The 21,569-nt window shown below is 48.8% G+C and overlaps 2 protein-coding genes across 16 annotated transcripts in view, besides 5 other annotated features; both read right to left on the bottom strand.

Moving 5' to 3' along the window:
* TMEM39B (transmembrane protein 39B) overlaps positions 1–8,276 on the bottom strand; it is a 30,833-nt gene extending 22,557 nt beyond the window's left edge. For 6 of the 14 annotated variants that reach the window (XM_047423840.1, XM_006710725.5, XM_006710724.3 and 3 more), the window contains exons 1-5: positions 7,256–7,368; positions 5,230–5,356; positions 4,485–4,704; positions 3,461–3,544; positions 2,989–3,143 (exon numbers count right to left, since the gene is read on the bottom strand). In XM_047423840.1, the coding sequence (XP_047279796.1) occupies positions 2,989–3,143; positions 3,461–3,544; positions 4,485–4,704; positions 5,230–5,356; positions 7,256–7,259 (590 nt within the window). In that variant the 5' untranslated portion in view covers positions 7,260–7,368. Of the gene's footprint in view, positions 1–2,988; positions 3,144–3,460; positions 3,545–3,660; positions 3,918–4,052; positions 4,072–4,484; positions 4,705–5,229; positions 5,357–6,434; positions 6,807–7,255; positions 7,369–7,854 lie in introns of those variants that run through there. The other 8 variants (NM_001319678.2, NM_001319679.2, NM_001319677.2 and 5 more) reach the window with 7 other exon arrangements.
* Positions 7,364–7,969: an enhancer, noted in NCBI's record as "NANOG-H3K27ac-H3K4me1 hESC enhancer chr1:32537939-32538544 (GRCh37/hg19 assembly coordinates)". NCBI's record gives its function as "activates a minimal SCP1, AML or CMV promoter by ChIP-STARR-seq in primed H9 embryonic stem cells {active_cell/tissue: H9 hESC(primed)}" and the evidence as "EXISTENCE:reporter gene assay evidence [ECO:0000049][PMID:30033119]".
* Positions 12,214–13,008: an enhancer, noted in NCBI's record as "H3K4me1 hESC enhancer chr1:32532900-32533694 (GRCh37/hg19 assembly coordinates)". NCBI's record gives its function as "activates a minimal SCP1, AML or CMV promoter by ChIP-STARR-seq in naive H9 embryonic stem cells {active_cell/tissue: H9 hESC(naive)}" and the evidence as "EXISTENCE:reporter gene assay evidence [ECO:0000049][PMID:30033119]".
* Positions 16,605–16,899: a silencer, noted in NCBI's record as "tiled region #7843; HepG2 Repressive non-DNase unmatched - State 12:CtcfO". NCBI's record gives its function as "represses a minimal TATA promoter and a strong SV40 promoter by Sharpr-MPRA in HepG2 cells {active_cell/tissue: HepG2}" and the evidence as "EXISTENCE:reporter gene assay evidence [ECO:0000049][PMID:27701403]".
* Positions 17,545–17,839: an enhancer, noted in NCBI's record as "tiled region #15509; K562 Activating DNase unmatched - State 25:Art, and HepG2 Activating non-DNase unmatched - State 18:Pol2". NCBI's record gives its function as "activates a minimal TATA promoter and a strong SV40 promoter by Sharpr-MPRA in K562 cells, with weaker activity in HepG2 cells {active_cell/tissue: K562 | HepG2}" and the evidence as "EXISTENCE:reporter gene assay evidence [ECO:0000049][PMID:27701403]".
* Positions 18,854–19,466: an enhancer, noted in NCBI's record as "NANOG hESC enhancer chr1:32526442-32527054 (GRCh37/hg19 assembly coordinates)". NCBI's record gives its function as "activates a minimal SCP1, AML or CMV promoter by ChIP-STARR-seq in naive H9 embryonic stem cells {active_cell/tissue: H9 hESC(naive)}" and the evidence as "EXISTENCE:reporter gene assay evidence [ECO:0000049][PMID:30033119]".
* The window catches only part of KHDRBS1 (KH RNA binding domain containing, signal transduction associated 1), a 46,983-nt gene continuing 44,870 nt past the window's right edge, over positions 19,457–21,569 (bottom strand). For both annotated transcript variants that reach the window (NR_073499.2, XR_007066502.1), the window contains one exon: positions 19,457–20,144. The gene's annotated coding sequence lies outside the window, so the exon portion shown is untranslated. The remainder of the gene's footprint in view (positions 20,145–21,569) is intronic.

Genomic DNA, 21,569 nt, shown 5'->3' with positions numbered 1-21,569 from the left:
CATCTTTTGGTGTAGTTAATTCTTCTGGGAATCTACTGTGCAGAGATACTGGACACATATGCAATTATTCATTGTTATGAATAAGGAAAAGCTAGAAACAACTTAAAAGTTTGCCAGTAGGCCAGGCACGGTGGCTCACGCCTGTAATCACAGCACTTTGGGAGACCAAGGTGGGCGGATCACGAGGTCAGGAGATCGAGACCATCCTGGCTAACACGGTGAAACCCCATCTCTACTAAGAATACAAAAAATTGCCGAGCATGGTGGCTCATGTCTGTAATCCCAGCACTTTGGGAGGCCAAGGCAGGCGGATCACCTGAGACCAGCCTGACCAACATGGAGAAACCCCATCTCTACTAGAAATACAAAATTAGCTGGGCTTGGTGGAGCATGCCTGTAGTCTCAGCTACTTGGGAGGCTGAGGCAGGAGAACTGCTTGAACCCGGGAGTTGGAGGCTGCAGTGAGCCAAGATTGCACCACTGCACTCCAGCCTGGGCAACAGAGCAAGACTCCATCTCAGAAAAAAAAAAAAATTGCCAATAGAAGACAAATAAATTGTGAAAATTCTATAACATAGAATACTGCGAGGCCATTAAAAAAATGAGGCAGCAGGTCATGATGGCGCATGCCCATAGTCCCAGCTACTCAGAAGGCTGAGGTGGGAGGATTGCTTGAGCCGAGGAATTCTATGCTATAATGTGCTATGCCGATGAGGTGCCTGCATAGAAGTTCAGCATCCATATGGTGAACTCCTGGGAGTGGGGGACCACATAATTGCCTAAGGAGGGGATGAACTGGTCCAGGTTAGAAATAGAACAGGTTGGCCAGGCGCGGTGGCTCATGCCTGTAATCCCAGCACTTTGGGAGGCCGAGGCGGGCAGATCATGAGGTCAGGAGATTGAGACCATCCTGGCTAACACGGTGAAACCCTGTCTCTACTAAAAATACAAAAAATTAGCTAGGTGTGGTGGCAGGCGCCTGTAGTCCCAGCTACTCAGGAGGCTGAGGCAGGAGAATGGTGTGAACCCGGGAGGTGGAGCTTGCAGTGAGCCAAGATTGTGCCACTGCACTCCAGCCTGGGCGACAGAGCGAGACTCCATCTCAAAAAAAAAAAAAAAAAGAAAGAAATAGAACAGGTTAAAACTCCTGTGTTGATCAGTAGTGGGAACAGACCTGTGAATAGCCACTGCACTCCAGCCTGGGCAATACAGCAAGACCCTCATCTCTAAAATAAAATAAAATAATGAGACAGACCCGTATGTATTGGCATAGAAAAATATCTGTTATATGATTAAGTGAAAAGTGTGGTAAATTGTACATCATGCATAGCATAATACCATTTTTCTTTTTTAAAAAACTGCATGTGGCCAGGCACAGTGGCTCACATCTGTAATCCCAGCACTTTGGGAGGACAAGGTGGGCAGATCACTTGAGGCCAGGAGTTCGAGACCAGCCTGGCCAACATGATGAAACCCCAACTCTACTAAAAATACAAAAAGTAGCCAGGCGTGGTGGTGGGCACCTGTAATCCCAGTTACTTGGGAGGCTGAGGCAGGAAAATTGCTTGAATCCAGGAGGCAGAGGTTGCAGTGAGCCGAGATCGTGCCACTGCACTCCAGCCCGGGTGACATCAGACTGTCTCAAGAACAAACAAACAAAAAAACTGCATGTGTGTGTACTTGCACAGAAAATATTTTGGGAAAATTGCTGCCAGTAATGGATTTCTGGGGGAATAAGACTATGTGGGACTTTCTTTTTCCATGTTAAAAGCTTCTGTAAAGTTTAATGTTTTTATAAGACATTATAATGTTTTTTTTTTTTAAAGACAGGACCTCACTCCAGTTGCTTAAGCTAGAGTACAGTGGCACAATTTCGGCTCACTGCAGCCTCGACCTCCTGAGCTCAGGTGATTCTCCCACCTCAGCTTCCTGAGTAGCTGGGACTATAGGCGTGCCTCACCACACCTGGCTAGTTTTTTATGTTTTTAGTAGACAGGATTTCGCCATGTTGCCTAGGCTGGTCTCAAACCCCTGGACTCAAGCAATCTGCCTGTCTTGGCCTCCAAAGTGCTGGGATTACAGGTTTGTGCTACTGTGCCTGGCCACATGTCACTCTTATAATTAAAAAGTAGATATAACTGAAGGAAGTGTGACAGGGCTCCCATGCCAGTGCCTTTTTGGACATGCAGGGTAGAAAGGGGGAGGTGCCAGCTCTGAAGCTTCCCAGAGACCAGGATTGACCCAGCTTGAGGAATTTTGTGAACCAGAAAACCTGGGGGTTGGGAAACGACTGTTAATGCTCAGGCAGCCAGCAGCCTGCCCCAGAAGCAGCCAGATCCAACACCTCACCAAAGTTCTCCCTGATGCAAGGCGAGAAATGGGCAGTCCTGGGCACATCCCCGAAACAGTCTCTCCATCCTCAACAATCTAGGGTCTGGTGAGACGGAGAAAGAGAGCAAAAACAGGCACAAAGGCATACACACATGCATATGCAGGCACACACACATGCTTCATGCATAGACACCCACACGCTTCATGCATAGACACCCACACAGAGACATGCAACCATGCAGCTGTTTGCTGGCACACAGACTCAGGGAGATACCAAGAGATTACACAAACACTGAGATACACAAAGAGAGACACAGAGAAAGGGAAAGAACCAGAGGGAGGGGAAAGGAAGAGCGAGGGAGACAAAGCCCATACATTCCCTCTTGGGAATGTTCCTTTGGGATATATATGCAGATCTGAGTCCCATTCTGACCTCCCCCATAGTGAGAGCTGGGTAAATTATGCCACCTCAGTTTCGTCTGCAAAAAAAGGCTAATTATCCTGACCTCAGTGAGTGAGTGTCATCTGACAATGTGAGAGGATGTTGCTGCCTGCCTCCGATCTTCCAGATATGGAGGCCTGGTGAGCCAGCTACGGTCAGGGCAGAGGTCAGGGGCCAGGTGCTGGGCAGTGAGGGGTGAAGTGAGGGGTACTCACGGATAGCAGAGGAACAGGAGGTTCAGGAAGGAGTAGGTCCTGAAGAGGTGGATGAGGGATCGGCACAGACTCCAGCCTGTTGCCGTGAGAACGGTGAAGCGAGTGAGGAACAGCAGGATGGAGCGAAAGAGGGAGACCTTCCCCCTCTGAGAGGCCTGGGTCGGGGCAAGATAGGACGGGATGGGGCCTTGGATGGAGGCCGAAGGGGCTGTGCCCAAATCCCACCCAGCATGACCTGTGATCCCACCCAGGGAGAGGTGGCACAGCAGGCTGGGCAGAACCTGGCAAGGTAAATCCTTCTCTTTGATGCCCAGTAAACTCCAAGATGGGATGTAACTAATGTTCTTCAACCAAGTCCAAAGGGAGCCCCAAGGAAATACCCTAAGGCTGAAGGGCTGGGCATGTTTCCTTGGCATCCCCAGGGGAAAAGGGGAATCCCAAAGTCCCTGGCCAGCCTCTAGGACCCAATCACCTCCTTCACGATGGACCCAATGAAGCGGCGGCCCAGAACGATGGTGGTCACCATCAGCAAGTTGAAGTCGATCAGATGGAAGTTCTGTCAGGGGGCAGAGGCCTGGGGGTCATGTGGGCCCCTTGCCCATATGCAGGCTTTTTTCATACCCACCTCCCGCTGCCCATTTCTTTCCACAGAGACTGTCCTCATTCTCTGACCTTCATCGGCCTCCAGCTGAGTCAGGCCAGGAAATTACCTACAGGAGTAGGACAGGACCCCGAGAAGGGAAGTGGGACAGTCCCTGGGGATAAGAGAGTGGTATGTGAGCCCTCTTGCTCTGCTCACACATGCCCCTGTCCCTATACTGTGTCTGCACTGAAGTCTTTCCTCCCCTTGAAGCACTCATGTATCCCTGTGGTTCATCTCCACTACTGGATTAAGACTCTCAGCTCCTGGCCGGGCGCGGTGGCTCACGCCTGTAATCCCAGCACTTTGGGAGGCTGAGGCGAGTGGATCATTTGAGGTCAGGAGTTCGAGACTAGCCTGACCAACATGGTGAAACCCTGTCTCCACTAAAAATACAAAATTAGCCGGACATGGCGGCACACACCTGTAATCCCAGCTACTCGGGAGACTGAGGCAGGAGAATCGCTTGAAACTGGAAGGCGGAGGTTGCAGTGAGCTAAGATTGCGCCATTCCACTCCAGCCTGGGCAACAACAGCGAAACTCCGTCTCAAAAAAAAAAAAAAAAAAAAAAAAAGAAGAAAAGAAAAGAAAAGGACTCTGAGCTCCTTTAGGCAAAATCTTTGTCAGATTCATCTCCCATACACTTACAGTGCCCAATGTGCTACTAAACACACTAGGAGTATTCAGTGAATCATCAGTTTCCTGTTCCTTCAGCACCTTCCATGTTCAGCATGGAGCCAAGTGCACAGTGGTGCTTAGTAGGATATGCTAAACTGAAACCAAAAGAAACACACACACACATACACACACACGCACACACACACACACACACACACACCCTTGTTGGGTACCTACCAGGGAGGTGTGGGAGGGTGGGTGGGAAGGTGGATACCACCACACTGTCTTGTAGATGTTGATGTAGTGGACGAAGAGTGCTATGAGCTGGCAGAAGAAGAGCTGCAACTCAAACAGAATGCTGGCCTGGACTGGCAGCTCGGGGATCTTGCAGTGCTGTAGAGGCACAACAGTTTGGGTGGCCAGAGGAGGGCTGGAGAGGCCTGTTCCAGAACTGCTCCTGACAGTGGGGAGGGAACAACATCAGCAGCTGACCTGAGAATCCTACCAGGAAGGGCTTCTGAGGCAAAGGATTGTGGGATAAGATCAGAAAAGCAGCTCATAGCAAGGACGGGGTCTTCCTAATCCTGCTTGTCAGACAAAGGAACCCGACAAAGCCTTTTCCTATCCCTAATCTTATTCAGGTCTTCCAACACCCCCTAGGAGAGAAAGAATTATTAGGTCCATCTTACAGATGAGGAAAAGGAGGCCCAGAGAAGGGAGGCAACTTGTCCAAGCCATCAGCAAATCTGGAGCAGAACTGTAATTAGAATCCAGGCCTTTGGATTTATTCTACCATGTCCCACTGCATCTGTCCAAGTGATCACCCTCAACTGAGCTCCCTCTGGATCTTTTCTGCTGCTTACTCCCCTCTAAGCCCCCACTGGCATCTAGGATTTCACATCTTAGAATCCAGTCAGAGAGAGCCCTGTCCACATCGTCCCTGTGAGGCCACAGTGAGGGGTGAGACAGAGAGGTGGTTTACCTGGTGCGGGAACGAACACTGGTCACCGATGCACTGGAAGTGTGGCTTCCACTAGAGCCCCCCGAGGATCCCGGCTCACAGAGCGGATTTCGACAGTAAGATGTCCTGTTGGGACCTCTTCGTCCTCCTGTGGGGCTCAACATAAAATAGAGCCTCAAGCCAGGGGGCATATATCAAGGATAACAGCAATGATACCAGCTGCCAGTCACCTAGTATCTCACTTTATCATTTAATCCTCACTGAGACCTATGATCTGGCCCCTTCTTACATCTTCAGCTTCATCCCCTATCATTCTCTACCTCACACCCACCCTCTACCACCCGCCCCATGCTCTAAACATCTTGATCTTTCTTTCCTCAGCAAGCCAAGCTCATTGCTACCTCTAGCACTTATAATATCCTATCTGGAAAGCCTTTCCCGGACTGCCATTTCTGAAGTTTTGAAGTAACTCCCCATCACTCTCTCTCCAATTTCTATTCTTTTTTTCCACCAGAATTCACTCTCTGAAATTATCTTACTCATTTGTTAATATGCTTATTGCTTGTCTGTCCTATTACAATGAAAGGTCAATGAGGTCAGTTACCTTATCTTTTTCACTGCTATATCCCCTACCTCAGTGCCCAGCAAGTATATGTTGATGAGTGAATGAACCCAGCAAGGTAGGTTTTTCACACATTAGGAAACTCAGCTTACACTATGTCACAGTATCGTGGCTGGGTCGTGTGCTCTCAACTCTGGTACACATTGGGCCCCATTCAGACATAAGTTTCTGGAGGCCTATAACTCTGGGTAACTTTGGGACAGCTTTTTCATCCAGGGCCCCATGATTCAGCTCAAAGGGCATTCTGGGATCTCATGGGCAGGACCCAGGGCCTAAATAAAGGGTCAAGGATATGGCTGGGAGAATCCTGTGGCTGTGGACTGAAAAATTGGACCTACTAGGCTGAGCAGTCTAGCCCAAGCTCCCACGCACCACTTCGCACAAAAGTTCTGCACAAAGCTCCTAAGCACCTAAAAAAGTCACAACCTGACTGGGTGTGGTGGCTCACGACTGTAATCTCAGCAATTTGTGAGGCCGAGGCGGGAGGATCGCTTGAGACCAGGAGTTGGAGACCAGCCTGGGCAACATGGCGAAACCCGGTCTCTATTAAAAAATATATATACATACATATACATATTTTTAAAAAGTTATAACCTGTTCATACCTCTTCACAGTAACACAGCAGCCTCCATTCACATACACCCCACGCCGTAGCATCTCAGCTCGGAAGCGTTTCCCACACTTCGGAGCCAATTTTGGGCTTGGATGTATGCCCAAAATTATAAACCTCCACAAGTCTCTAAAAAGTACCTGGCGAAGAGCTCTGCCCTCCATAAACCCCCAGACCAGAAGCTCTGTTCATACGCTGTTATACTTGGCTTAGAAAATCCCACACAAACACCCTTAGTCCAGTCCAGAAGCTCTGCCCACACCCACTCTCCTCTCTTTAGAAGCTCTGCACCCACATAAAGCCCCTCAGCCCAGAAGCTCCGCCTACACACAACTGTCAGCCCAGAAACCCCGCCCACAAGCCAATAAAAGCCCTCTCAGCCCAGAAGCCCCACTCCAGAATGGGCTCCCTCAGTCGGAAGTCTCCCCGCTCCACCGCCCCCAGTGTAACCCCTCCAACCCAGAAACGCCGACTGCACTAGCGCCCCCTGCCCAGAATCTCCACCCTTAGCGCTGAAGCCACGCCCACTGGTAAGTCCCGCCCCCCTTTCTAGCCCCGACGAGCTGGTCCTCACGAAAGCCCAAGCCCCCACAGGGCTTCGTCTTAGAAGCCCCGCCCACCGTCCAATGTCCCGCCCCCACAACAGAGGCCCCACCCCGCAAAACGACAGGAGGGGGCGGGATCCCGTCTGCGCTCGCATCCCCTCCCCCTCCCGTCACCGGGCTCCTGTCCGCGTGGAGCAGCAATTAGCAGCCTGGCCATCCTAACCCGTGCGCCCGCTCGTTGCCAGGCCGAGCCTGAGCCGCTCTGCTCACCCATCTCCTCCCCCCGGTGCTCTCCGCTTCGCCGCCGCAGCTCCTGCGGGCAATATGTCGGAGGCGACGGCGGCCGGGAGAGGACTAACCGCCGCAGCCCAGTCCCGGGTATCAGCCGCGCGCTCCCGCCGCGCCGCTACATTTGCATACAAGGCGGGCTGGAAGCTGGCGCGCGCTTCTTAAAGGGGCCGCCCGGACGGAGGCGGTGCCTGCGCGCTCTTTGTCTCTCGGTCCCCCACGCCCTTCCTGCAGCTGCTGGTGAAGAGACTCAAGAGGGAGGGGAACGGAACCCACCTCCTGCTCTTCCCGTGCGTGTCTTCTCTCAGCATCTCCTGGACCGGGGCGGCGGCGACCGGAGGAGGGTGCGGAGCCGCCTCTCCGCTCCCCTAGGGGTGGACCATATCCCTGACCGGTCCGCAGGCACCTCCAGCCCAGCCCCACGTTGCGCTTCATCCTTCTCTTAGGCCTCACTGCGCTTTAGTCCACCCCAGTCAAAATCCAGGAGTCATTTCCTCCCTCCCTCGGCCCCCACATCCGATCTTTGCCTTAGTCTTTGTGAGCCTAAGTCCTAAATATTTCTCACATTTGACGTTACTCACCGTTCTCATTGTCAACACCGTGGTTCAGATCCTGACTGCCATTTCCCAGCCTTGCAATCTTGTTTTTTTATGCTTTACGATGAGGCTGCTGATGGTCACCGTGTAGGTTTCGGTGAGGGTTAAATGAAATAGAGCATGCAGAACTGAGTCTGTTTTAGTATTAGCCATCACGATGTTTGGAGAAGCATTGACTAAATGAGCTACATTTATTGTCATTAGGATTCTTCCCTCACAAGACCTACAAGCAGTTTTAGTCATCTTGTAGCTCCATTGCTTAGCACAGTGCTTGGCACTTAATAGCAGTATTCAATTAATTGAATGAATTAGTAGATATTTCATTAATAGTCATAGAGCTTACAGTCAAGTGGGAGGAGATAGACATGAACAAAATTGGTAAATTCTGTAGTATGTTAGATGGGAATGGTGTGAAGGAAAAACAGGAAAGGGGGATGGGGTTGCAGTTTTAAATAGGGCAGGCAGAGCAGGCTTCAGAGTTGACTTGAGTAAACACATGAAGGAAATGAGTGAGTCAGTGGTGCAGATTTCTGGAGAAAGGGGGCATTTCAGGCAGAGGGAATAGTTAGTGCAAGGTCCCTCAGGCAGGAGGGTGTATTTATTTTATTATTTTGTTTTTTGAGGGGATGGAGTCTCTGTTGCCCAGGCTGGAGAGCAGTGGCTCGATCTCGGCTCACTGCAACCTCCACCTGCTGGGTGCAAGCGATTCTCCTGCCTCAGCCTCCCAACAAGCTGAAATTACAGGCGTGCACCACCATGCCCGGCTAATTTTTGTTTTTGTTTTGTTTTGTTTTTTTGAGACTGGAGTCTCCCTTTCTGTTGCCCAGGCTGGAGTGCAGTGGTACGATCTCGGCTCACTGCAACCTCCGCTTCCCGGGTTCAAGCGATTCTCCTGTCTCAGCCTCCCAAGTAGCTGGGATTACAGGCACCCGCCAGCATGCCCGGCTAATTTTTCCATTTTTAGGAGAGGCGGGGTTTCACCATGTTGGCCAGGCTGGTCTCAAACTCCTGACCTCAAATCATCCACCCACCTCGACCTCCCAAAATGCTGGGATTACAGGTGTGCACCACCACGCCTGGTCTAATTTTTGTTTTTTTGTTTGTTTGTTTTTTTGAGACGGAGTCTCACTCTGTCCCCAGGCTGGAGTGCAGTGGTGTGATCTCGGGTCACTGCAACCTCCACCTCCCGGTTTCAAGTGATTCTCCTGCGTCAGCCTCCCAAGTAGCTGGGACTACAGGTGTGTGCCACCACACTTTGCTAATTTTTTGTATTTTTAGTAGAGATGGGGTTTCACCATGTTAGCCAGAATGGTCTCAATCTCCTGACCTCATGATCCGCCTGCCTTGGCCTCCCAAAGTGCTGGGATTACAGGCACGTGCCACCACCACCGGCTAATTTTTGTACTTTTTAGTAGAGACGGGGTTTTACCTTGTTGGCCAAGCTGATCTTGAACTCCTGACCTCAAGTGACCTGCCAGTCTCGGTCTCCCAAAGTGCTGGGATTACAGGCGTGAGACACCACGCCCAGCCAAGAGGGTGTGTTTGAGAAATAAGGAGGCAAGTGTGACACAGGTATAGATATAAGAGTAGGACATGAGAAGGGATAGATCATGTAGGGCTGTGTGGCTTTTACTTTGAATGAGATGCAGAGCTATTATAGGGTTTGAACTTCTATTTAAAAGAACTATTCCAGCTGTATGGTGAGAATAGACTGCAGGGGCACCAAGGTGGAAGCAGGGAGACCAGGCAGGAGGCTGTGGCAATGATCTTAGCAAGAGATGTTGATCGTTTGCACCAGGTTGGGTGAGATGGTGAGACATGGTTGAATTCTGGATTTGAAGGTAAAGTCTACAGGATCTGTTGGGCTGACTATGGTGGCTGATGCCTGTAATCCCAGCACTTTGGGAGGCTGAGGTGGAAAGATTGCTTGAGCCCAGGAGTTTGAGACCAGCCTGGGCAACAAAGTGAGACCCTGTCTCTACAAAAAAAAAAATTTAAAATGAGCAAGGTGTGGTGGCATGTGCCTGTAGTCCCAGCTACTTGGGAGGCTGAGGTACGAGGATCACTTGAGCCCTGGGAAATTGAGGCTGCAGTGAGACGTGATAGTGCCACTGCACTCCAGCCTGGGAAATGTAGAAAGACCCCATCTAAAAAAAAATTAAAACAAAAACAAAACAGGACTTGTTGACAAAATGGATAGGAGTGTGTGAGGAAGAGAAGAGATAAGGATGACTCCAAGGTATGTAGCCTGCACTAATGAAAATATGGAGTCCAATTCAACAGATGTATATTTTTAAATTATGACAGTTTTTTTTTTTTTTTTTGAGACTGAGTCTCACTCTGTCGCCCAGCCTGGAGTGCAGTGGTGCGATCTCGGCTCACTGCAAGCTCCATCTCCCGGATTCACGCCATTCTCCTGCCTCAGCCTCCTGAGTAGCTGGGACTACAGGTGCCCGCCACCACGTCCGGCTAATTTTTTTGTACTTTTAGTACAGATGGGGTTTCACCGTGTTAGCCAGGATGGTCTCGATCTTCTGACCTCGTAATCCACCCGCCTCGGCCTCCCAAAGTGCTGGGATTACAGGCTTGAGCCACCTCGCCTGGCCAATTATGACAGATTTTACACCAAGTCAGTCCTTCCCTTCAAGGGGAAAAGTGGCCCAGGGATGGAAAATGACTATCCCTGGCTCAACAAGCAAAGAAGAAAGCAGGACTGGGAGTGCTTTTTTCCAGCCACAGAAATTCTTATAGAGAAAAAAAGAAAAAAAAAGAAATTCTGTTAGAGGCTGGGTGCAGTGGCTCATGCCTGTAATCTCAACACTTTCTCAACACTTTGGAAGACTGAGGTGGGAGGATCACTTGCGTCCAGGAATTTGAGACCAGCATGGGCAACACAGGGGAACCCTGTCTCTACAAAAAATTTAAAAATTAGCCGGGCATGATGGGTGCATGCCTGTAGTCCTAGCTACTCGGGAGGCTGAAGGGAGAGAAATCACTTGAGCCCAGGAGTTTGAGATGACAGTGAAATGATCACACCACTGCATTCATCCTGGGCGACAGAGTGAGACCTTGTCTCAAAAAAAGCGGGGGAGGTAAGTCCACTTGTATGGACTGCCATGAATGTGACCCACCTATTACCTGTGGCTCCAGCCCACCTTGTAGTGGTGGACTACTAAATTTGCCTGCTCAGCATCTATTCTTCCTCCTCATAAGAACACTGATTTTTCCCTTGGGGAACTACTCTTCCTCTGACTCTCTCAGTCTGTGTGGTTTGGTGGAGTTGCCTTACTTTGCAGTTCCTTTGTGGGCAGAAGACACAGGCTTGGCAAATCAAAGCATTCCAATATCCCTGCCTCCTAAGGCTAGTGACTGGTTGGGGTGGTTGGGGAGTAGGAGGGGATTAGTGACCTGTCAGCCCAAATGAGGTGCAATCCTAGGATCTTTGTTAGAACTATTGGGAAGGAAATTTTTATTCCCCTCTGGGCTGGCTGAGCAAGTAAGTTATAAACTTGGAGGTCTTGGTGGCCATCTTGCCATCTTTTGAGAATTATTTAGCTGACAATGAAGGAAACACAGAAGAGTCAAGAAATGCCTGGCTGCAGTGGGTCATGCCCATAATCCCAGTGCTTTGGGAGGTGGAGGCAGGAGGATCACTTGAGCCCAGGAATTCAAGATCCATCTCTACAAAAAATTTAAAAAATTAGCTGGGCATGGTGGTGCATGCCTGTAGTTTCAGCTATTCAGGAGGCTGAGGCTGGAAGATTCCTTGAGCCCAGGACTTTGAGGCTGCACTCTGGCCTCGACAACAGAGACCTTGTCTCAAAAGGAAAAAAAAAAAAGGTCAAGAGATCAGTAGACATTTCTTTCTTTTTTTCTTTTTTTGAGACGGAGTCTCGCTCCGTCACCCAGGCTGGAGTACAGTGGTGCGATCTTGCTTACTGCCAGCTCTGCCTCCTGGGTTCACGCCATTCTTCTGCCTCAGCCTCCCGAGTAGCTGGGACTACAGGCACCCACCACTATGCCCGGCTAATTTTTTGTGTTTTTTAGTAGAGGCGGGGTTTCACCGTGTTAGCCAGGATGGTCTTGATCTCCTGACCTCGTGATCTGCCCGCCTCGGCCTCCCAAAGTGCTGGGATTACAGGCGTGAGTCACTGTGCCTGGCCTCTTTCTTTTTCTTTTCAAGACAGGGTCTTGCTTTGTCACCCAGGCTAGAGTGCAATTGTGTGTTCATGGCTCACTGCAGCCTCTACCTTTTGGGCTCAAGTGATCTTTCTACCTCAGCCCCCAGAGTTTCTGGAACTACAGGTGCACGTGGCCACACCCGGCTATTTTTTTTTTTTTTTTTTTTTTTTTGAGATGGAGTTTCACTCTTGTTGCCCAGGCTGGAGTGCAATGGCACGATCTCGGCTCACTGAAGCCTCCGCCTCCTGGGTTCAAGCGATTCTCCTGCCTCAGCCTCCCGAGTAGCTGGGATTACAGGCATGCACCACCATGCCCGGCTAATTTTTGTATTTTTAGTAGAGACAGGGTTGCTCCATGTTCATCAGGCTGCTTTTTTTTTTTCTTTTTTTTAGACGGAGTCTCGCTCTGTTGCCCAGGCTGGAGTGCAGTGGCGCGATCTCAGCTCACTGCAGGCTCCGCCTCCCGGGTTCACGCCATTCTCCTGCCTCAGCCTCCAGAGTAGCTGGGACTACAGGCGCCCGCTACCACGCCCGGCTAATTTTTTCTATTTTTTTTTAGTAGAGACGGGGTTTCACCATGTTAGCCAGGATGGGTCAGGCTGGTTTTGAACTCCCGACCTCAGGTGATCCGCCAGCCTTGGCCCCCCAAAGTGCTGGGATTACAGGCATGAACCACCGCACCTGGCCCATACCTGGCTAATTAAAAAACATTTTTTTTAGAGAGACAGGGTCTGTGTTGCCCAAACTGATCTCAAACTCATGTGATCCTCCTGCCTTGGCCTCCCAAAATGCTGGGATTACAGGTGTGAGCAACCACGCCCAGCCAAAACACTTTTTTTTTCTTTTTTTGAGATGGAGTCTCGCTGTTGCTCTGTTGCCTAGGCTGGAGTGCAATGGCGCGATCTCAGCTCACTGCAACCTCCGTCTCCCAGCTCCAAGCAATCCTCCTGCCTCAGCCTCCTGAGTAGCTGGGATTACAGGCGTGTACCACTACACCCGGCTAATTTTTGTATTTTTAATAGAGATGGGGTATCATCATATTGGTTAGGCTGGTCTCGAACTCCCGACCTCACAATCTGCCTGCCTCAGCCTCCCAAAGTGCTGGGATTACAGGCGTAAGCCACCATGCCTGGCCCGACACTTTCTTGATGGCATCAATTGAATCCTGGATCCAACTATACCTGAAGCTTTTATGGATTTTTTTCTGTTGCAGAAAGCCAGTTTGTGCCTGTTGTTTGACAACTGCAACTGAAATAATCTAGAATCTACAATTCTATCATAGAATCTACCTGAAACACCTAGGGTTTTTGTCCTTTTCAAATCTGCCTCTTACAGTTTCCCTGGAAAAAATATTTATCTTTTCTTTTGTAAAAAATATTTTTATATCCCACATACGATCATTACCAATCTCTGGAGAAAATAGTAAGACGGCAGGATTTTGGCTAGGACCTTGTCTTCCAGACCTGTGGCCACAAGTCTCAGCTGTTTCGTAACTTTGAAACCCTCACTTCCCCTCCCTGAGCCTTCATTTCCTGATAAACTTGCTATCTATTGGCCCTTCGAGGAGTCTTAAGTTTTTGAGGAAATGCCACTGGCTCTAAGCCAGTCCTGTCACTGGGTACTGGAAGCTGAGATCTCTTCTTTGGTCATGTTATTTTGGGACTGTGGCCAAAAGCTGGCAATCTGTCCTGTTTTTTAGAGACACAGCCTCACTTTGTCACCCAGGCTAGAATGTAGTGGTGCAATCATAGCTCACTTCAGCCTCCAACTCTTGGGCTCAAGTTATCCTCCTACGTAAGCCTCCCGAGTAGTTAGGACTACAGGTGCACACCACTGTGCCTGGCTAATTAAAAAAAAAAAAAACTGGCCAGGCGCGGTGGCTCAGGCCTGTAATCCTAGCACTTTGGGAGGCCGAGGTGGGCAGATCACAAGTTCGACACCAGCCTGGCCAACATAGTGAAACCCCGTCTCTACTAAAAGTACAAAAAAAAAAAAAAATTAGCCTGGCATGGCGGTGTGCACCTGTATCCCAGCTGCTTGGGAGGCTGAGGCAGGAGAATTGCCTGAAGCTGGGAGGTGGAGGTTTCAGCGAGCTAAGATTGCACCATTGCACTCCATCCAGCCTGGGCGACAGTGCAAGACTCCATCTCAAAAGAAAAAAAATTTTTTTTTTTTTTTTTTTTTTTTTTGTAGAGACAGGGTCTCACTATGTTACCCAGGCTGGTCTTCAACTCCTGGGCCCAAATGATCCTCCTGCCTGGGCTTCCCAAATCACTGGGTTTACAAAATGGAGCCACCACACCTGGCCCAAATCTGTCCTATAAATCAGCATTTTTTTTTTTTTTTGAGATGGACTTTTGCTCTTGTTGCCCAGGCTGGAGTGCAATGGCACGATCTCGGCTCACTGCAACCTCTGCCTTCCGGGTTCAGGCGATTCTCCTGTCTCAGTCTCCTGAGTAGCTGGAATTACAGGCGCCCACCACCATGCCTAATTTCCATATTTTTAGTAGAGTTGGGGTTTCGCCATGTTGGCCAGGCTGGTCTCGAATTCCTGAACCTCAGGTGATCCGCCCGCCTCGACCTTCCAAAGTGCTGGGATTACAGGCATGAGCCACTGCGCCTGGCCTTAAATCAGCAGTTTTCAGACCAGACTATGCAGACCTCTGGTGGTACACAGAAGTGATGAATCCACAGGATAAAACACAATGCAGCTTTCTGGAATGTCAGTTTTATTCAATGGAAATATAAGGCAGAATTTTCTTTTTCTTTTTTTTTTTTTGAGATGGAGTCTCGCTCTGTCGCCCAGGCTGGAGTGCAGTGGCGCAATCTCGCCTCATTGCAAGCTCCGCCTCCTGGGTTCACGCCATTCTCCTGCCTCAGCCTCCCGAGTAGCTGGGACTACAGGTGCCTGCCACCGGGCCTGGCTAATTTTTTGTATTTTTTAGTAGAGACGGGGTTTCACCACGTTAGCCAGGATGGTCTCGATCTCCTCACCTTGTAATCTGCCCACCTCGGCCTCCCAAAGTGCTGAGATTACAGGCGTGAGCCACCGCGCCCGGCCTGTAAGGCAGAATTTTCAACATCAAATCGCAGTCATTAAGAACACGTTCTCTGGAGCCAGACTTCCTAGCCCCATCACCTACTGGCTGTATGACATTAGCAAGTTACTTAACCTTTTTGGGTCTCAGTTTCCTCAAGCCTTATGGGTTTGAGAATCTATGTAAAGTATTTAGACTAGAACCTGACATACATTCAGTGCTATTGAAGCATTAGCTATTTTTATTAAAACATGGATATACTGTAAAGTACAAAGTAAACTAATGTGGGCTGGGCATGATGGCTCACGCCTGTAATCCCAGCACTTTGGGAGGCCAAGATGGGCAGATCACCTGAGGCCAGGACTTCAAGACCAGCCTGGCCAACATGGCAAAATCCCACCTCTACTAAAAACACAAAAATTAGGCAGGTGTGGTGTTGTGCACCTGTAATCCCAGCTACTCAGGAGGCTGAGGCATGAGAATCACTTGAACCCGGGAAGTGGAGGTTACAGTGAGCTGAGATTGTGCCACTGCACTCCAGCCTGGGAAACAGAGCGAGACCCTGTGTCAAAAACAAAAACAAGCCAGGCGCGGTGGTTCACACCTGTAATCCCAGCACTTTGGGAGGCTGAGGCGGGCGGATCACCTGAGGTCGGGAGTTTGAGAACAGCCTGACCAACATGGAGAAACCCCGTCTCTACCAAAAATACAAAATTAGCCGGGCATGTTGGCACATGCCTGTAATCCCAGCTACTCAGGAGGCTGAGGCAGGAGAATCGCTTGAACCCGGGAGGCAGAGGCTGTGGTGAGCCGAGATCGTCCCATTGCACTCCAGCCTGGGCAACAAGAGCAAAACTCCATCTCAAACAAACAAAACAAACTAATGTGAATTTAAGATTGAAGGCTTTGAAAAAAATGTCACCTGCAGCCCGGTCCCAGCCCACCAGGGATTTGCTTTCACCTTCTCTTGCCAGCAAGAATACTTACATCTGATTTTCAATACCAGAGAATCCAGGTGTCTTCATGTTCTTCCAGTTTCCTGGGCCATTCTCACTCCATGTATACATTAGTCTCCCCACACAACCTCCCACCTGTCAGGCAATCCCCCTACCCCCATTCTTATCCAGACATTTGTCTTCCCACATCTTATATTACAAATATATGTAAACTATAGAAAACCCAGAAAATGTCACATTTCTTTAGTTTAAAAAGAGATAAGATTTTGGCAGGTAATGTATTTAAGGTAATTAAGATAGAGAGAACTGTAAAGTAGGCTATGTTCCAGAAGGGTGAGTCTAGTTTGGCTTGAGAATAACTGAAGATGAGGTTGGAAAAATAGGTTCAATTCAGATCACTTGATGATCCTGAATGTTACACACAGTAAAGAATTTGGACTTGATTTCAACTCTCTAAGCCTGTTTCATCTGTACAATTAGGAAAATTACTATGTTGTGAGGATTAATGGAGAGAAGCAAACACATGGGAGAGATATCCTGTGACAAATGGAGCAGATGTTATTAGGAGTTGGAGACACAGATTCTTTTCCTTAGTGTAAACTATCCCCACCTCTCAGGGTGGCCTGAAATTCAGTCTCTCATTTATCTTATTTTTCTGTAATGCACATCTTAACCACCAGAGAGAGCCTGATACAAAGGAATCTCAACTCCAAGTACAACAGAGAAATTAAGCTGGGCATAAGATGTGGAATCCTGGATACAACTGCAGCGATTCTCAATGGTAGGGTAGGGAATGGATCCCAGTGCCTCCTCTATGGGCCTTCTTAGACCCATCCCAAGGAGAGGGGGTGGGGCATGCTGCCACAACCTAGAATTTAGCAGCTAGCCAGATGTAAGGTCACCAGGAAAGAGGTGAGGTGGGTAAGGATGAGGGCCAGATCTAGTTTAGGGACCTGAATTTCTGTATCTCAAGCAAAAGAGACTCTCAACTCTGCTCATAAGCCACCAGGCCCAACTCCTTCCTGGGCTACCCCATGGCAGGCCAGGTCATCTAGCTGGCCCGGGAACTTTAGAAAATTTCTAAAGAGCAGGGGGTGCATCGTGGGGAAGGAGGAAGGGGAGAGAGTGGCATATCTAAGAGCTGTCTTTAGGGTGACATCCACATGGCATCAAGACCTCAGCCTTTAGGTCTATCAGAAAGGGCAGTGGGACCTAGCTTCTCCAATCATGATTCACTAGCCTGGCATCTTACAGCATTTTTACAAAACCTCCTTTGCTTTCTTGGATTTTTGTTACGAATGTTAAAATGAAAGCCTAGGGACATTGAACAATTTACCTGAGGTCGAAGAGCAGCAGCCAAGGGCAGAAGTGGGCCTGTAGGCAATAGGAGTGGCTCTGAGGGGCTGAGGAAAGGGAAGGCAAGCAGGTAGAGCAACAGCCTGCTTGTCAAGCTGCAAGCATTGGCTCTTGGCCAGGCCTCATACCCACTCCTCCAGGGCCAGCTCTGCTGCCAGGCCCCAGGCTGCCAGCCCTACCTCCACACTCCCACCCCAGTCCCCTGAGAGCCCATCACCTTGGCAACAGCCAGAGAAAGGCCCAGCTAAAATATTTATGGCTCAAAACAGCCTAGAGGCTTGGGAGGGGGGAAGAGGGAAAGGCTGATGTCATCCCTTCTCAGCTTACAGGGGAGGTGACTGACATACAGGGCAGCTGGGTGGGTGGGCCAAGCCCAACAAGTCAGGGCTCTCAAAGGAAGATCCCAAGGGCCATAAGTGGTAACAGGAGGAGGACGAAGACTGTGACAGGTGACAGGACTGGATAAGACCCACAAGCCTGGGAAAAAAGGAGGAAGGAAACTTAAAGGTTGAGCAGTATTGTGTCTAGACCCCATGCCAGGCATTTCAAACACATCATTTGCTTCTCAGATCCCATTCAGTACGTAGCAATTCTTTTTTTTTTTTTTTGAGATGGAGTCTTGCTCTGTGGTCCAGGCTGGAGTGCAATGGCGCGATCTCGGCTCACTGCAAGCTCCGCCTCCTGGGTTCACACCATTCTCCTGCCTCGGCCTCCTGAGTAGCTGGGACTAGGGGCGCCCACCACCACGCCCGGCTAATTTTTTGTATTTTTAGTAGAGATGCGGTTTCACCATGTTAGCCAGGATGGTCTCGATCTCCTGACCTCGTGATCTGCCCACCTCGGCCTCCCAAAGTGCTAGGATTACAGGCGTGAGCCACCGCACCTGGCCAGTAGGTAGCAATTCTTATCCTACTTTGATGGAGTAAACAGGCCCTACAGCTCTTCTTAAAGCAAAAAAAAAAAAAAAAAAAAAAAAAAAAATTAAAACAAGCTCTGGAAATATGCAAATGATGAGCTGGGATTTGAATTCAGATCTGTTTGGCTTCAGCCCTGTAAGCTTTCCTATAAAATTCTGTGGCTCCCGAGTAGAAATCCTAGCAGACTGAAGGTATAGCGATCTAGGAACCTAACACCAGCTCCTCAGTCAGTGACTCAGGTTCTGTGCCTCCATTTATATATGATGAAGATGCCATCTGATTCCCTAATTCCCCACCCCAAACTCCTCCCTTGTCAGCCCTGGACTCAGAGCATCCAATGTAAACAACAGGGTGACAAACTCATCGAGGCTGGCCTGTGACTTTTCTAGTTTTAGCACTGGATAGTCCCATATCCCAGAAACTCTCTCTTGGGTAAACCTAGATGATCTGTCATCCTAGACGAACCCCTCATGCAAACATAATGCTTTAATATTTCAAAGCACTTGTGGCTGTGAGAGGTACAAACAGGTCAAAAGAATAGGCCATGAAGTCTGATAGTATAGACCATGAAGTCTTTTTCTAACCATAGGCAAATTTTTTATCCTCCTTGAGTCTCAGTTTTTCTTATTTTCCTGGTACATACTAAGAAATCAGTAAATTATTAGCTGTTATTTACAGTAATCAACAATGATGACAGAAACAGGCTCAGAGATTAAATAGCTTGCCCAGTGTAAATCAACTGACTTTAAGGAATCCCTTTCCATTATACTTCTGTTCCTGCTAAGGATGAATCCAAGCTCACTAGAATGCCCCAGGCACAGTTAAAATGCAGATAGGCTCTATTCTCTCCCTAAACTCAGTCCTTCCCCTTGTTCCTTTGTTAGGATAAATAACCAGAAGGCATTAGGGAAGAGTACAGTATCAGAGGTCCCTAGCCTCTCAGGAAGCTGAGTATAAATCAACCTAGAAATAGGCCAGAGGAAACCAGAAGCCTATCAAAGGCTGACTTTCCAATCCTTCAAGGGAAAATGGCAGAACAAATAGCTGGCCTAGTATAGCTGGAAGGAAAGTGAGAGCTAAACAAGGGGGCTTTGGCTCTCTCCCAAAGCTGATAGAAGCTACCAGAGTGGGACCATTCATCACTTGACCAAACCTTTATTGAGGTCCTCAGGGGCAGATATTTGTTGGGGAGAAATATAGTACAGAGGTGGAACAGAAAAAGCCCTACCCTTTATGACCTTTTTGGACAAGGTAAGTAATAAACAATGAAGAGAAAAACAGGTTCAGATGTTAAATAACTTGCCCAAATTAATTGAATCTTCTCACTTGGCTTTCCTCAGCCTTTTATGGAAGGGCAGTGATCACCCTCCCTTGGGAGCCCTCTGGAAGGGTTCAAGGACTCACAGGCTGACACCCATAACACAGGTGTGGTAGTGGGGAAACAGAAAACGGTGGTAGGGTGTTTCAGCCAATTCTATGGGAGGCTAAAGGGAAGCACACATACTGGGAATGGCACAGTAGGAGTTGCCAGTTAATTCCCATCTAGGAGGCCATGCTAGGGATACCCATTAGTCCCCTTCAACTCTTTAAAGTCTTGAACAGTTTAATTGTTAGCACCACAGTCCCCTGCAGCCCTGAGGACTCCATTCTGGGCCTAAAGACTCTTAAGGGATCCTGACTGGCTTTCTGTGGGTAAATCTGACAGATCAAGTAGAGTGAAAGAAAACTGCTGATCTCCTCTCCTGGGTTTCTCTGTGTTCAGCAAATGCCCTCAGGCCAGCCTTTATACAGCAGGTAGCTCTCCAGGTTTCAGGAGTCCTCTGATAGCTGCAAAGACACAAGGTAGAAAATTAAGAAAGCTCCCTATTAGGGGGCTTCCCAGCCTCCCACCTGACCAGGATGCTTCCCTCACAATTGCCCCATCCCACAGCACAACTCTACTTGTTTCATTCAGTACACAAGTTTCTTGGGTACACAGATGGGTAGAAAACAGAAGTCCACAGCCTATGAATTCTCTTTTTACTGTCTGTCTGGTAATGAAAATGCAGTCTCACGCTCAATATCTCCTGTCCTTGGCCATATCTCAGCTGAGTGGATCCAGGGAAGAATCAACAAAACCTTTGGGGGGCCTATCCAAGCTTTGAAGCCTCTATAAACAAAGGGAAAAATGCTTTCTGCTGTCCTAGAAATGTGAAAAAGATGAACAAAAATCTTTAAAGTCTTTTGAAGAATGGAAATCAGAAAATAGGCATCTTATTATCACTATTATTGGTAACTCAATGTTAGGCTCAAGGGGCGATGGATGTTATGAAGGATTCATCCCAGCACCAAATACTCAGGGTGGACTAGAGGAGACGCATCTTAAATCTGCGGCACAGGGAAGGGGCTTGATCTCATGCTAAAACCTATAGCAATGCTCCTTCTTCTTCTTCTTCTTTTTTTTTTTTTTAAAGAAAGAGTCTTGCTTTGTCACTCAGACTGGAGTACAGTGGCAACATCATGGCTCACTTCAGCCTTGATCTCCTGGGCTAAAGTGATCCTCCAACCTCAGCCTCCATATACGATCACAGACACACACCAACATCCCTGGCTAATTTTTAAATTTTTGTCTCCATATGTTGCTCAGACTGGTCTCAAACTCCTGGGATCCTCTTAATGGCTTGCCAGAGTGCTGGGATTATAGGTGTGAGCCACCATGCCTGGCCAGTGCTTCCGATCTTTTAAATGGCGCTACCATCTCCCTTAGTTGTTCCAGTCAGTAACCTGGAGCCTTAATATGTTCATTCTATCGCCTAAAAGGTTTTGTTTTTTTTTTTTTTTTTTTCTCCTGAGACAGAGTCTCGCTCTGTCACTCAGGCTGGAGTGCAGGGGCATAATCTTAGCTCCAGTACTGCAGCCTCTGCCTTCTGGGTTCCAGTGATTCTCCTCCCTCAGGCTCCCAAGTAGCCGGGATTACAGGCACGCACCACCATGCCCAGCTAATTTTTGTATTTTTAGTAGAGATGGGGTTTCACCATGATGGCCAGGCTGGTCTCAAACTCCTGACCTCAGGTGATCCGCCCACCTCGGTCTCCCAAAGCGCTAGGATTATTACAGGCATGAGCCACTGTGCCTGACAAAAGTTCTTGAATTCATTGACTTCTCTATGTTTGCAATATTACTCTACTATAGACCTTTTTTGTTGTTGTTGAGACAGTCTCACTCTGTTACTCAGGCTGCAGTGCAGTGGCACGATCTCAATTCACTACAACC

Source organism: Homo sapiens, chromosome 1 (genome assembly GCF_000001405.40).
Source record: "Homo sapiens chromosome 1, GRCh38.p14 Primary Assembly".
In the NCBI taxonomy this organism is placed as follows: domain Eukaryota; kingdom Metazoa; phylum Chordata; class Mammalia; order Primates; family Hominidae; genus Homo; species Homo sapiens.
The sequence above is the reverse complement of the archived record's forward strand: the minus strand, read 5'-3'. Positions and strand labels throughout refer to the sequence as shown.